The sequence below is a fragment of the Homo sapiens genome, chromosome 11 (genome assembly GCF_000001405.40).
Source record: "Homo sapiens chromosome 11, GRCh38.p14 Primary Assembly".
Lineage (NCBI taxonomy): Eukaryota > Metazoa > Chordata > Mammalia > Primates > Hominidae > Homo > Homo sapiens.
The window spans coordinates 70,568,731-70,582,586 of record NC_000011.10 but is presented as its reverse complement, the minus strand read 5'-3'; the positions used below and the strand labels follow the sequence as shown (position 1 = coordinate 70,582,586).

The 13,856-nt window shown below is 57.1% G+C and overlaps 1 protein-coding gene across 32 annotated transcripts in view, besides 3 other annotated features; it reads left to right on the top strand.

Moving 5' to 3' along the window:
• SHANK2 (SH3 and multiple ankyrin repeat domains 2) overlaps positions 1-13,856 on the top strand; it is a 785,381-nt gene that overhangs the window by 670,648 nt on the left and 100,877 nt on the right. The window lies entirely within an intron of this gene.
• Positions 2,976-3,477: an enhancer, noted in NCBI's record as "H3K4me1 hESC enhancer chr11:70425215-70425716 (GRCh37/hg19 assembly coordinates)". NCBI's record gives its function as "activates a minimal SCP1, AML or CMV promoter by ChIP-STARR-seq in primed H9 embryonic stem cells {active_cell/tissue: H9 hESC(primed)}" and the evidence as "EXISTENCE:reporter gene assay evidence [ECO:0000049][PMID:30033119]".
• Positions 5,005-5,505: an enhancer, noted in NCBI's record as "H3K4me1 hESC enhancer chr11:70423187-70423687 (GRCh37/hg19 assembly coordinates)". NCBI's record gives its function as "activates a minimal SCP1, AML or CMV promoter by ChIP-STARR-seq in naive H9 embryonic stem cells {active_cell/tissue: H9 hESC(naive)}" and the evidence as "EXISTENCE:reporter gene assay evidence [ECO:0000049][PMID:30033119]".
• Positions 5,506-6,006: an enhancer, noted in NCBI's record as "H3K4me1 hESC enhancer chr11:70422686-70423186 (GRCh37/hg19 assembly coordinates)". NCBI's record gives its function as "activates a minimal SCP1, AML or CMV promoter by ChIP-STARR-seq in naive H9 embryonic stem cells {active_cell/tissue: H9 hESC(naive)}" and the evidence as "EXISTENCE:reporter gene assay evidence [ECO:0000049][PMID:30033119]".

Here is a 13,856-nt window from a genome sequence, read left to right as displayed (position 1 = left end):
TGAACGAGGGGAGAGGTTTGCGTATCCTCCCGCTGCCTAGCCTGCACGCACTGGTCAGATATGGACCTGAGCTTATATCTGCTGCCTGCCGCCTCTATAGGGAGCTCAGAGGGACACACTGGCTCAGGGACTCCACAGGGAAGCTGAGTGGGTCCCATCTGCCGAGCAGGCCTAGCAGAGAGCATCTCAACCCAGCCCTCCCGTCACTTGCAGATGTGTGCATGAGCTAATTGGATCCGGCCGGGGCTGGCGGCCTCCACGGCATTCAGTCAGCAGTAGTAGAGTTAGCGGCTTGGAGGCCCCGGATGTGTGGGGACAGTTAGGTGGTCCTTTCAGCTGGTGCCAATGCCAGGCCCCTTCTCATCATGAGGATGGCGGCATTGGCCCCCTGGGGTGGAGCCCCTCTCTGCTTTCTTTGCAAGGCCTTCTCTGACTGATGGCACCTTGGACTCTCCGCCCTGGGTCTGTCTGCTGTCTCCCCAGGCCAACCCCTCCTCTGGCCTCAGCTCTTCGGCAGGGAAAGGAGACTGGACCTGGCCCGGGATCTGTCCCCTCCCATTGACCAGCAGCTCCTAGGGGAGGCAGGATGGCCTCTGTGGGCATGAGGCTCGGGGCAGAGCTGGCAAACATTTACGGCCCCAACCCTCGTGTGCCCAAGAGAGGAGATCAGGAGCTTTGCTCTACAGGACATTAAATCATAGTCCAAAGAGATTAAGTGGCTTCCCAGGGGCCATACCGCTCACACAGCTCAGAGCTGGCAGAGTGAGGCTTGGGGTGAGTTCCTCCAGTTCCAGGGCTGGACTCTCTATACTCATGGAATGCTGCTGTGTGCACCAGGCCCCAACTTCAGTCTTTGCCTTCAGCTAGCTAGCTTGATTGATTGATTGATTGATTGATTGACAGAGTCTCGCTCGGTCACCCAGGCTGGAGTGCAGTGGCACGATCTCAGCTCATTGCAACCTCCGCCTCCCGGGTTCAAGTGATTCTCCTGCCTCAGCCTCCCGAGTAGCTGGGATTACAGGCACGTGCCACCACGCCCGGTTAATTTTTGTATTTTTAGTAGAGATGGGGTTTCGCCATATTGGCCAGACTGGTCTCAAACTCCCAACCTCGAGTGATCTGCCATCTTCAGCCTCCCAAAGGGCTGGGATTACAGGCATGAGCCACTGTACCTGGCCTAGCTAGCTTTAAAGTACAGTGAGTTATGGTGTTGGTGAGAAGTAAAAAAAAAACAGTAACAAAAACTGAAGCACCAACAACCTTAATGTAACACAAAATATACCATTCAGATAGGAAGATGCCATCTTTGAGGAAGGCAGAGGCCTTTCCTAAGGTACTGGAACAGCCAGTCAGGTTTGTGGTTTTATTTCAGTGACTACAAGAGCTTTTCTTCCCTTGCCCTTCAAACGCTAGACTTACTTTTGCCGTCGTCCCTGATGGAGATCCTCATGGTGATTTCTGGAGAAGGGAGTGCCCTGAACCTTAATCTATTCTTGGTCCAGGTGCCTCTTGCCCCTAGATCTGGCATCCCCCCTCCCTGGTGGCTCCTCAGAAGGCCTCGCAGTGACGAACACTTAGGTGCTGATGACGGGGAAGAGCCAGAACTTTGAGAGCCCCTGGACCTGGTGGGCTCCAGGTCAGGGCAGAGTGACAGAGGAGTGTGGGGTGTATACCCACACGTGTGTGCTGCAGCATCCTGGGACCCACAGAGGGAACAGGAGGTGAGCCCCCCAGGGTCCCCCCAGCCAAACTGGCTCCAGACTTTGAGAGCAGCACAGGCTTTGTGGTCTCAGGGTGGCATGAAGATGTGGCCCGTGGCCTGCTGGCCTCGCTGTTCCCGCCTGCCCCAGCCCTGGCTCTGGCTGGGCAGCCAGCAGCGGGGAAGCGGCCTCAGGCCTGAAGAGTGGGAGGAAGTGGCTCCTGTAACCGCTGAGCCAGTGCCACGGCGCTGTCCTTGGTCCTGGCAAAACACCACTCCCTCCTCCTTCATCTTGAGCCCCCGTGGGTGCCACCAGGTGCCCACAATTTCTTCTGGCAACACCGAGCAGACCCAGACTGCCCAGACAAGGCCGGGTCCCCAGCAGCCCAGGCTGCAGGCCCACGCCGCTCATTGGCGGTCCAATTTCATCCTGCAGGAGGGTAAGGGACGCGATTGAGCATTCTGGAGGCTGGCACGGTCTGCAGTGACAAAGGGATGTTCAGAGACACCCTGCTGGTGGCCCCCTGGACACTGGGGCCATTTGGGGTACAGGGCTGAGCTCTCACCTTGTGGCTCATTACAGGGTCTTCAGTTGCAAAATGTAGCCAGTAAGGCTGCGCTGTGCCTCAGCCCAGCCACCCCACGCCCCTGTTTATTAATGACCAAAAGGGAGGGGCTGGTCTGCAAAGTGTCCCTTCGCAGCAGCCTGGTGGATGTCCACGGCTTTCTGATGTTCTCAGCCTTGTAGAAGTCAGCTGTGCACTTCCCGTGGCTGAGGCATTGGCAGCAAGTCACCACGAACCTGGTGGCTTCCAGCAACACGTGTTTATTATCTTAGCGTTGTGAAAGCCAGAAGTCCAATGCAGGGCTCACTGGCCTAAAGTCAAGGTGTGGTCAGGGCTGGTTTCTGCTGGAGGCTCCAGGAGAGCCTGTTTCCTTGCCTTTTCCACCTTCTAGAGGCCGCCTGTGTTCCTTGGCTTGTGGTCCTCCATCTCCAGCCAACAGCGTATCCCTCCAACTTCTGCTTCCATCCTCACCTCTCCAGCTCTGCTCCTCCCGGCTCCTCCTCCACTTATCAGGACGCTTGTGATGACGCTGAACATCAGGGCCATCTCCAGGTCTTCATCACATCTGCAAAGTCCCTTTTGCGGCTTATGGTCACACAGGTCCCAGGGATTAGGGCGTAGACATCTTGCAGCCGTGGCTTTGCTGACCACAGCAGGCTGACCTGCACAGGACAGGTCCCGGGGACACCGGGGGTCCTGGGATCCGGCCCAGGCCCGGGAGACACCACCTGGGGCCCAGCTCCATCCATGCCTGTCTTACATTCATGCCATCACCGCCCAGGCCTGGGAGATGCCACCTGGGGCCCAGCCTCATCCATGCCTGTCTTACATTCATACCATCACCCAAGACTGGGCTTTGCCTTATGGGGTGGCCTGCAAGCGCCACTTTCTGGGCAGAAGGAAGGGAAGGGATGTAGTGCCAGCTGCAGCCTCTTCTGGCTGTCCTCAGAGGCAGCCACCATTGTCCTGTCCCACAGCTGGGCCTTTTCAGGGACACTTCATGCTCCTATGAGGGACTTTGATCTGTGTTTCATGTAGTTGCTAAGGTAGCCCAGTGAGCTCACTGGCTGGAAATGATTTTCTTGAGAAATATGATGCCCCACGCCCAGCACAGGGCAGGGTTGGACTGGGGATGCATCCATGCCCTTGGCCACCTTGCCAGGGGTGAGCTGGACCTGGAGACTGAGCAAGACCTAATTTAATAAATCAGAGTAGGGCCTAGGGTGTGCAGCCCTGTGTTTCTACTCCCCTGGATCCAGCACAGGCCTCGTTCTCACCTGCATTCATGCTCCTCTGTGTTCAGGTTCCCACGTCCCTTTATTCAGCAACAGCTGGGCAGAGGGTGGATGGGGTCGCCCGGCTGGTGCTGAGGTGTGTGGGAATGCGCTGTAAGGGGAGGCCGCCCATCCTGTGGGGAGGCCAGGGAAGAGCTGAGAGTGACCCGGCAGATGGTCTCTGGGCTCATTGCATCCCCGACATCTAAACCATCATGAATAAGTAACATTTCCAAGGAAAGAGCAATCATCCCCCTTTGAGAAGAAAACCAATCTCTTGGTTATCTCTGAACTGGGCTAAAATCTTCCATGGGCCATCCTGTTGCTCCATTTCATGTAAATTAGCAGATTCGATGACACCAAGCATGAGGTCACGCACCTGGCTGGTTCATGATGGTGTGAGATGAAGGTTCTGCCTGTGAGACGTGGCCCAGGGCCCCCCACCTTCTCGGGGACACGCTGTCTACTCCACAGGGGAGGAACCACTGTCAGTACCAGAATGGTGCAAATGAAGGATGTGGGCCTCCGGAGCCCGTCGTGGCCACGAGCTCTTGGGCCGTGCAATGCTGTGGTCCAGGATGGGAAGGCTGTGCGTCGTGATGCGCCTGTCCCCCTGAGACCTCGCCTTCTGTGCCAACAACATCACCATCCTCAGGTGAGCAGGGAAGGTGCCATTCCTGAAACCCACTCTTGCGGGGCTGGAATAAAAGTTCAAAAGCAATCTGCGTTCCTCCTGTCTTGGGGGAGCAGGAGTCTCTGTTTCTTGCAGCCTGTTGTGGTTCTGGGAAGTACAGTGTGCCCTGCAGGCATCCTGCCGGGATTCGAGTCCTACCTTGGACAGGCGCCGTATCTGTAGGCCGCTTCCCTGTCTGTGCAATGGCGAGAGTACAGTGTATGAGATGCCATGGCACCGCACTAAGTCAGTGTGTCTTCGTGTGTCTGAGTCAGCTCAGGCTGACCACAACGCCCCACAGACTGGGCGGCTTACACGGGACGTTGGTGGGCTCACATTCTGGAGGCTGGAATGGGAGATCAAGATGGAACAGGGCTGGTTCCTCCTGAGGCCTCTCTCCTGGGCTCGCATTCAGCTGCCTTCTCCCTGTCCCCTCACAGGTCATCCCCACCAGTGTGTCAGTGTCCTCATCTCCTTAAAGGACACCAGTCCTACTAGGTCAGGGCCCACCCTAATGGCCTCATTTTAATTTAATCAGCTCTTTCAAGGCCCTATCTGCAAATACAGTCACGTTCTGAGGTTGTGGGGGTCGGGACTGTAACACAGGAATGGTGACCCACAGTTTACCTCCGTTTATCAGCCCACCTGGCTGTGGGGTACAGTGCAGCCAGGGCAGGGAGCCACGAGTCCAGTGCCTGAATGCTCAGGTGGGGGTGGGCCTGGGTGGGAAACCAGTCCTGGCCCCTCAAATCAATCTGTTGCCTCATCTATTTTGTGCACATCAGGAAAGGATGATTCCCCTGCAAAAGGAGTAGCAGCAGTGCCTGTGGGCCTGGGGGTGGTCACTGGCCAGGACCCCACGCCTGTTACCTGGCTCAATTCTGCAAACCCGCCTGTGGCTTTTGGTCCCCATTTGCAGTGGAATTGAGGCTCAGGGAATCATGTGACTTTCCCCAGCCCAGAGATGTCTCGTGGTCCGTGGGTGCCATGAAGTGGCTCCACCAAGGAGACAGGCGTGGCCACGGCCCTCCTCACTCTCCACATGGTTGGGTCATTCCTGGTGGTCTTGGGGTCACTGGAGAAATCATGGCCCCTGCCTGGAGCTCGGGGTTTTGACACTGATGATCCCTTATCATGCTTTCCAGAAAAATGCAGCTCTGAGTCACTCTTCCTTCCTCTCACCCCACGGGGATCACGAGTCCTCCTGGGGCTGTCTGGGCTCCACGGTGTCACGTCTGTGTCACTGTATCCAGACTGAGGGAAGAGGCTGGCGTCTGGTGATGTGGGGCTGGGGACACTGGGGGAGCTCATCCCCAGGGAGGGAGACAGCGGCGTGGCCTCCGTGGCAGGTGCAGGACGGGCGCTCTCCTGGGCTCCCACAGTGTCCTGGCCACCCCTTCCGCTAACTGCGTGATACTCATTATTTCTAGAGAGCCACCAGCACTCACCAGGCATTTACCACCTGCCTGCTGTGTCCTTGTTGCTGACTCATGGCCCCCCTCACAGTCCCTCAGAGTTGGCAGCACTACTGCCCTATTTAGTAGGGGAGAAAAGTGAGGGATAAGGGTATGATGAAACCTGTTTGCAGGGGCTTTCGTTGCCTCACAGCAGCCCTGGGCATCCCAGTCTTACTGATGGGGAAACGGAGGCCCTGGGAGAGCCAGGTAGCTTCTTCAGGCTGGTAAGGGCAGAGTTAGGCCTGGGAGTGTGGGGTTTTTTGTTTGTTTGTTTGTTTTTTGAGATGGAGTCTCGCTCTGTCGCCGAGGCTGCAGTGCAGTGGCAAGATCTCGGCTCACTGCAAGCTCCGCCTCCCGGGTTCATGCCATTCTCCTGCCTCAGCCTCCCCAGTAGCTGGGACTGCAGGCACCCACCACCACGCCTGGCTAATATTTTGTATTGTTTTTAGTAGAGACAGGGTTTCACCATGTTAGCCAGGATGGTCTCGATCTCCTGACCTCGTGATCTGCCCGCCTCGGCCTCCCAAAGTGCTGGGATTACAGGCATGAGTGTGGGTTTTTTGACTCTAAGTCCAGTGCTCCCCACTGGCACGGCTCTCTCCCCAGGAGGTGCATGGGGTCTGCCGCAGCCGCTTGCTGTCCCTCGCAGGAGGGCTCTGCACCACATCTTCACCTGCAGCTTCCGTGTCTGTACCCCCAGCCTCTCCTTTCCTCGTCTGCATCCCAGCACCTGTGACAACAAAGGGCTTGTAAGAAGTGCTGAGGGACAGGTAGTTCCCCGTAGACACAAATGGCCTGGTGCTCAGATTCCAAGAGTCTGTCTGCCAAAATTTAAGCCCGTGAAATGCTCTCCTTGTGGGGAGAGGGGGGAACACATTTCCACTCTGGGAAATGGGACATGCAGCACACCGAAGCTCATTCCTGACTCTCAATGCTCAGGTGTCTCCACCAACAAATAATTACTGAGCCCCTGACACTGCCAGGCTGCAGCACGGCCCAGGGGATTCTGCCGTAAGGAATTAAAACCTACCAGGGCCCCAGCCTAGCTCCGAGGAACCTCACAGGAGCTCAGCATCCTCCACCCTATCCAGCCCACGCCCCCCAAGTTTGCCACCCCATCACCCACCACGGGCGGGGGCTATGCAGAAGCCAGTCAGCAGCCACCTCACAGCCCTAGAGTCTCCACACATCTCATCCTGCGCCCCCCACCCACCACCTGAGTGTCGACTTACTTGCAGTCTGTAAAGCGCTCACACATTGCAAAACACATGTGGAAACACCAAAGGTGGAGGCAGAGGGAATGATAAAGAAAAGCCTGGTGTCTCCTCCCCACCCCAGGGGACTCTGTGTCCCCGCTTTGGGGCTGACTCTGTTGGCCTTTGTACTTTCTTTTTTTTTTGAGGCAGAGTCTCAATTTGTTGCCCTGGCTGGAGTGCAGTGGCACAATCTCAGCTCACTGCAACCTCTGCCTCCCGGGTTCAAGCAATTCTCCTGACTCAGCCTCCTGAGTAGCTGGGATTACAGGCACCCACCACCATGCCCAGCTGATTTTTTGTGTGTGTATTTTTAGTAGAGATGGGTTTTTGCCATTTTGGCCAGGCTGGTCTCAATCTCCTGACCTCAGGTGATCCGCCCACCTTGGCCTCCCAAAGTACTGGGATTACAGGCGTGAACTACCACATCCGGCTGGCCTTTGTACTTTGACAGTCACCGTTGGGTGACCATTCCTCTGCTGCCCGCCTGGGTGGCTTGGCCTGGACCCCAGTGTCCTTCCCACTCAGTGTGATGTCCTTGTCCCCACCCAGAGCAGGGAGCAAGGAGGGCCCAGCTTGAATGCACCGCAGAGGATCAGCTGCAATGAAGGCTTTGAAACAGAAATGTGCCCTTTGTGTGTGTGGCTTCCTGTGTGTGAGTGTGGGGATGGGGATGGTTGGGCAGGGCCTGAAGGACAGATGGGACTCATAGCGGGGCCTCTCTGCTCAGCCTCCGGGTATCATGGCAAAATGAAGAGGATGGGGAAGGAAAGCAAAGAAAGCTTGCCGGGCAGCGAGGTTTGGGGTCAGAGTTTTGTAAGGCTGCCAACCATAATGGTTTCAGAGGGGCTTCCATGTCCTGGGTGTCCTCGCACTACAGCAAACATGTGACCTAATCCCCCAGTTCATAGACTGAGACCCCCGGTCTGTGCTCCATGCTGCAGAACGGCCTGGTCCCCAGTGCACAGGGTGGATCCCATCAGAGCCAGCCCCTCCTTCTCTTCCTGCTCCGTGGTGGAGCCAGGGCTGCATGCAGAGTCAGAGAAGGGGAGGGGACCCTTCAGGGCACGCCACCCCCATGGGCAAAGGGACAGTCACTAGAAGTCCCCTGGCAAAGTGCAAATGTGTGAAAATGGGAGGAGCCATGGCCCCAGAGTCAGATGAATGAGTGAAAGAATGACTGAATGAATGAATGGGAGACATTAGGTGATCAGTCACAGTTGCAGTGCTGGGATGGAGCAGAAGCAGGCATCAAGCCAGCCTGTTCTCCTGCCTCCAAAGACCCCCACCCCCTACCCTGATGTTGCCTCTCCCAGTGGGGAAGGTGGGGAATTTAGTGCCCTGTGGTATGAGTTCCCAGCAGGCTGTGGGGAGTGTGGGGAAGCTCAGAAGAAAGGCCCCAAACAAGCATGGGCTGGCTTTGGGCCACACCTCCGCAGTCTGTGTCGGCCCATCTGGAGATTGATCAGCAGGGTAAACTGAGGCAGGGTCTAAGAGAGATTGGGCAGGGGCCGCCATGAGTGCTGTGAGCCCTGTGGTCATAGACAAGAGGAACTGGCCGAGTTCTCCATCAGCACCATGCTGGGGGCTTGGCCATCCCTCGGCGCTGGTAGGAGGAGATCAGACTTCCTGAGAAGTGTCCATGTTTGGAGAAGGACCCGGGCTGGGGGCCAGGTGCATGGGTCTTGGTGGCTGGAGAGAAACTGGCATAGCGCCATCCGCCCCTGGGGCAGGGTGTGGAGCCCAAGACCACATCATCAGCCCAGGCCTTTCAGGGCCCCCAGCGGGTTCCGCTGTCACCAGGATGGTAAGTGTGCCTTGAAGTCTTCGGTGTGAGAAGTACTTTGCATACTCTAAGTCAGACAGAACATAAAAGTGGCCGTTGGCTGAAGTGAGGTGTGGGGTTGGGGGCTTGGGGCATCGGCTGGCGCCCCGTTTCCCCTCCTCACCCTCAGGGGCAGCCAGGGGCTTGCGTGGGATGTGGACTCCAGCTCTCTCCCAGAACCTGAAGCTTGATCTGGTCAATGTAGGAGGGGCCACTGGGGTCATCTTCATGTCTTGGTCCCAGTAACTCCTATTTTCTTTATATCAAATGCCATGCCCCACCCCCCCCCCGCCCCCACACACACAGACACATGGGGCAACCTCTCCTGTGGTATCGGTCATATCATGATACACTTTTTAAAAACTTTATTGGGGCATAATCAATGTCCAGTCAAGTTCACATATTTAAAGTGTGCAATTCTATAAGTTTTCACGTGTGTATTCTTGGGAAACCATCGCCAAGGTCAAGGTGACAAGTCCATCCACCAGCCGGCTTGCTCCTGCCCCCGCCCCCCCCCCCCACCGCTGGAGTGACCACCCAGCTCCATCACAGCCCCCCCGCCCCCACCGCTGCAGTGACCACCCAGCTCACATCACAGCCCTGCCCCGCCCCCACCGCTGCAGTGACCGCCCAGCTCCGTCACATCACAGCAGCCTGCACCCTCTAGAACATCACATAAAATGGAGTCACGCGACTGAAGCTATTTTTTGGGTTGGTTCCTCTCAGGCAGTGTGATTATTCTGAGGCGTGTGTGTTCCGGCAGTCCGTTCCTTCGCGTTGCCGAGTGATGGGCCGTCATCATGTCGATGGCCCACAATTTGGTGACCAGTCACGATCGATGGGCGTTTGGTTGCAGCCACTCCGACCTACCACGCATAAAGTTGCTGTGAATGTCCATGCACTAGACTTGGGGTAGTTAGGTGCCTTCATTTCTCTTGGATACTCAGAAGAGGAAAGCCTGGGTCACGTGATAGATGGATGTGTAAGTTTGAGAGACGGCCAAGCGGTCTTCCAAAGCAGCCTCACCATCTTGCATCCCTGCCAGCCACGTGTGGCGGGTCAGCCTCTCCTGGGCCTCGCCGGCACTTGGTGTGTGCCGTCTTTTTCATTTGGAACAGTGTGAGGTGGCGTCTCATTGTGACTTTAGCTCACATTTCCCTGGAGACCCCTGATGTTGGGCCTCTTTTCTTATTCTTGCCAACCATCCCTGTGTCTTCTGTGAAGCCGGAAGTGGAATGTTGTGGGGAACAGAGGGGCTTTCTCTCCTTGTTTCCCTCTTCTCTCTCCTCCCTTAGTTTCCTTCCCTTCCCTTCTGTCTGAGTCAGCTAAATCCACTAGGGCAAAATACCCTAGATGGAGGGGCTTCAAAACAGCAGGGGTGACCAGGCATGGTGGCTCACGGCTGTAATTCGAGCACTTTGGGAGGCCGAGACAGGAGGATCACTTGAGGTCAGGAGTTCAAGACCAGCCTGGCCAACATGGCAAAACCCCATCTCTACTAAAAATGCAAAAATTAGCCGGGTATGGTGGTGGGGACCTGTAATCCCAGCTACTCAGGAGGCTGAGGCAGGAGAATCCCTTGAACCTGGGAGGTGGACGTTGCAGTGAGCCGAGATCGTGCCACTGCACTCCAGCCTGGGCGACAGAGTGAGACTCCGTCTCAAAACCCAACAGGGGTTGATTTTCTCCCAGTTCTGGAGGCTGAAGCCTGAGAATAGGATGCCGGCAGGGCCGGATTCTGGCGAGGGCCTGTCCCTGGTGTGGAGATGGCCGCCTTCTCACGCTGTGCTCAAGTGGCAGAGGGAGAAAGTGGAAGCGAGCTCTCTGGGGTCCCTTTTATAAGGCTACCGATCCCATCACAAGGGCTCAGTCTCCTCCCAGAGGCCTCACCCCCAACACCATGCCATTGGAGGTTAGGGTCCAACCCAGGAATGTTGCAGAGACATGGACATTCAGCCCACAGCACCCAGCCCTACCCCTCCTCCTCCTCTCTCGCTTTCCAGTTCCCTCTCCCCTCGTCTCCACTCCTCCTTGGGGCCCCCTGATGCCGCACCCCTCCCTCTCCTCAGGGTTCATCACTTCTCCCTGCACGCACCACCCTCCTTTGCCGACTCCTCCAGTATCGACCTCAGCCCTTGCCTGTAGGGGCCTCCAACTGAGCTCCCTGCACAGACACCTGGATCCCCTGGTTCTGCCCCAAGGACAGAATTTGCTAGGCTCAGCTCACCTCTCCTCCCTAGACCCAAGGCCACTGTATTAGCCTGTGGGGTCAGGGGACCACTCCAGCTCAGCCAGCTATTGCTGGGGTGGGGCACATGGTGGGGGTAGCATCTAGACTTTTATACTGGAAAATGAACATTTTATTTCAAAGAAAAAGTAGCACGATGGTATCCAAGTATCCAGGACCTGCTGCCATGCCCTTTCTCTGCAGAAGGCCTGGCTGGGCCCAGTGGCCTAGCCGAGAGCCTGGCGTTGATTCTCTGCCCTTCCATTTTCGGGCTGTGGATCACCGGAAGTCACTCAGCCTCTAAGGTGAATACCCACAAGGTATTTGATGCTTACTTCATGCTCACAACACTGTCCTTGGCCCGCAGCGGGGAGGATTAAATGCCATCTTCTGCAGGGCAATGGAGAGTCACAAACACGGGTGCAGATGCAGAGCCCAGCCTTGACCCCAGAGTGGACACTCCTGACCTCCAGGGAGTGGGGGAGAGGCTGGACAGGGTCAGAGAGGCCTTGGGGGAAGCCAGGGAGAGTCATTCCCTAGAATCCGCCTCCAGGACCCAGCTGCTGTGGTTTTCTGAGCCTCCTGGATTGCTTCAGAAGAAAGAAATGCTAACACCCATGAACACCACCGCACAGGAGTGCTTTGACCCCCAAGATGCAGCATAGTTATGTTATGCACAAGATAACTACAAGATTTATGAAACTGTCCACTCTCAGAGCCCCACCCATATTTCCAGTTGGGTGACAAGCAGTGTATGTCCCTGGAACTGCACCCATAGCTCCACAGGGAGCTCAGTGTGAGGCCCTGGTGGGTGTGGGCCCCGGGTGTGAGTGGGCATTGATTCCCAGAGGGCCTCGGTCTATGACACCCCATTCCCCACTCCCCACTCCCCACTCCAGTACACCCACATCCTCCAGCCCCTTGGCACTCCCTCTCATGGAGCCAGCTGGGCTGCAGTGATCCTGGAGGGTGACCCTGTCTGAAGCTGCAGCCCACACACACCACTGGAGGCCGCAGCTGTGGAGGCAGACCCGGGCCTGCAGCAGAGCAGGTGAGGAGCTAGCCCTGTCCAAAGGAGGAGTTCACAGCTCGGGCTGCCCAGGGCCCCTTTCAGGGCAAGGCCTCCCTGGGGAGCCTGGCAGTGGGACCCCGGTCCTGGTCCTGCAGCAAGCAGGGGTACCTTTGACCACAGCTCCTAAAGAGAGCCAGACAGTATCCATCCTGGGTCAGGGGCACCCACGCGTGCACCCTAGGGAGGCGCTGGGGCCTGAAGTTCTACCATCAGGAATTAGAAATACCAGTTTTAGAAAATTAATCATCAAGAACGGGAGCGACCTGGGCCCCTTGTAAACCCGGCAGATCTAAAAGAGGGAAGGGCTTCAAAGGGGCAGGACTCCTGCGGGTCGGCGTGGCCGCCAGCCAAACCTACTTTCTCCAGGACTCTCGGCGGCAAGCCACAGAAGTTCCCTCTTGTCATTCGGTCAAGCCTTGTGAAGCTGCCATTTTTATAGGTCAAAAAACAGTCAGGTAGCGACAGCTTATGAGGCCCAACCGAACAGCTCAAGTTTCATAGGTGAATAATGTGCAGGGGGAGACTCAACAGCTGGAGGCAGGAGTCCACAATGGTGCTGGGGGCCTGTCTCTGTCTCTCACTCCCTTCTCTCTCTCTCTCTATGTCTCTGTGTCTCTGTCTCGGTGAGTGTCTCTGTCTTGCTCTGTACCGTCGTCCCCGTCTCCTCGTACTGACCTCCTGCCCTTGCTTCTTTGTGCCGGCCTCAGCCTTTTCCCGGGCTGAGGAACCCCCTCCGTGCTCACACATCTGCCAGCATCACAGCCCCCCAGGGACAGGAGAGCATCTTCCCCAGTAGATGTAGAGGAAAAACCCAGGCAGGATTCTGATTGGCCTGGATGACCATCCCTCAACCAATCACTGTGGCCTGGGAAACGGGAACCCCTGATTGGCCAGGACTGGGTCACTGGGCACTCCTGAGCCCGAGGGCTGTCCTAACCTCCTCGGTATCCTCCACGTGGGGAGGGGCCACAGAAAGGAGAGGGCTGCGGCACCAGCAGAGGTAAGATGGGGAAGCGGCCGGCAGCGCCACCCATGCCTCTCTTCCTGGGGCCTCATCGTTGGTCAACCCCGCCATCCACCCTCTGCCCAGCACAGCAGCCTACGAGCCGCCTTCTCCCTCAGGACCCAGGCCCTGCTCACTCTGCCAGCCCCGGAGCTCCCCGCTCCACCGCACCTGGAAACCGGGGCAAGATGCGTCCATGAGGCGCATGAGCAGGATCACCCCAGACGCTCCCGAGCCTGACCCCCCAGGACCCCAGCGGCATGGCTTAGCCACCAGCCTCCCCTGGGGTCACTACACACTTAGGCTCGGGATGGCCCGGGGGTTTGGGACTGTCCTCAGTCCGATTGGCCCTGAGAGGACAGAGGATCCCCCTCTCTGTGGGACTGAGGTGGTTCAGGTGGGGCCTTCCTGCAGAATCCAGGACAAGTCAAGGCAGATTCGCTTTCCTGGCTCCGTTCACTGTAAGTCCAGCGGCAGGAGTGGGGCCTGCATGCTGCATGCCTGAAAACGGGGAAAGGGCACATGGGCAGCCTTGAACATCTTCAGAGAACGTGAGCAGTCCCTCGGACGTGGATGCTGAGTCCACTGGCCACACAGCTGCACTCTTGCTGGACACAGGCAGGCTTCTCAGCCATCTATAAACAGCTGGGTTGCGGTGCCAAGGGCTCAAGTCCTCTGTCAGAAAGGAAGGAGGGGGCTGTCTAGCCATGGTGGCTCAAAGAATCAAAGTCTTGGAGCCACACCCTCCAGAGGGTGGTTTATCTTGCAGAATTGCTCCCTGAACCTGGCTTCTTCCAGACGGACCAT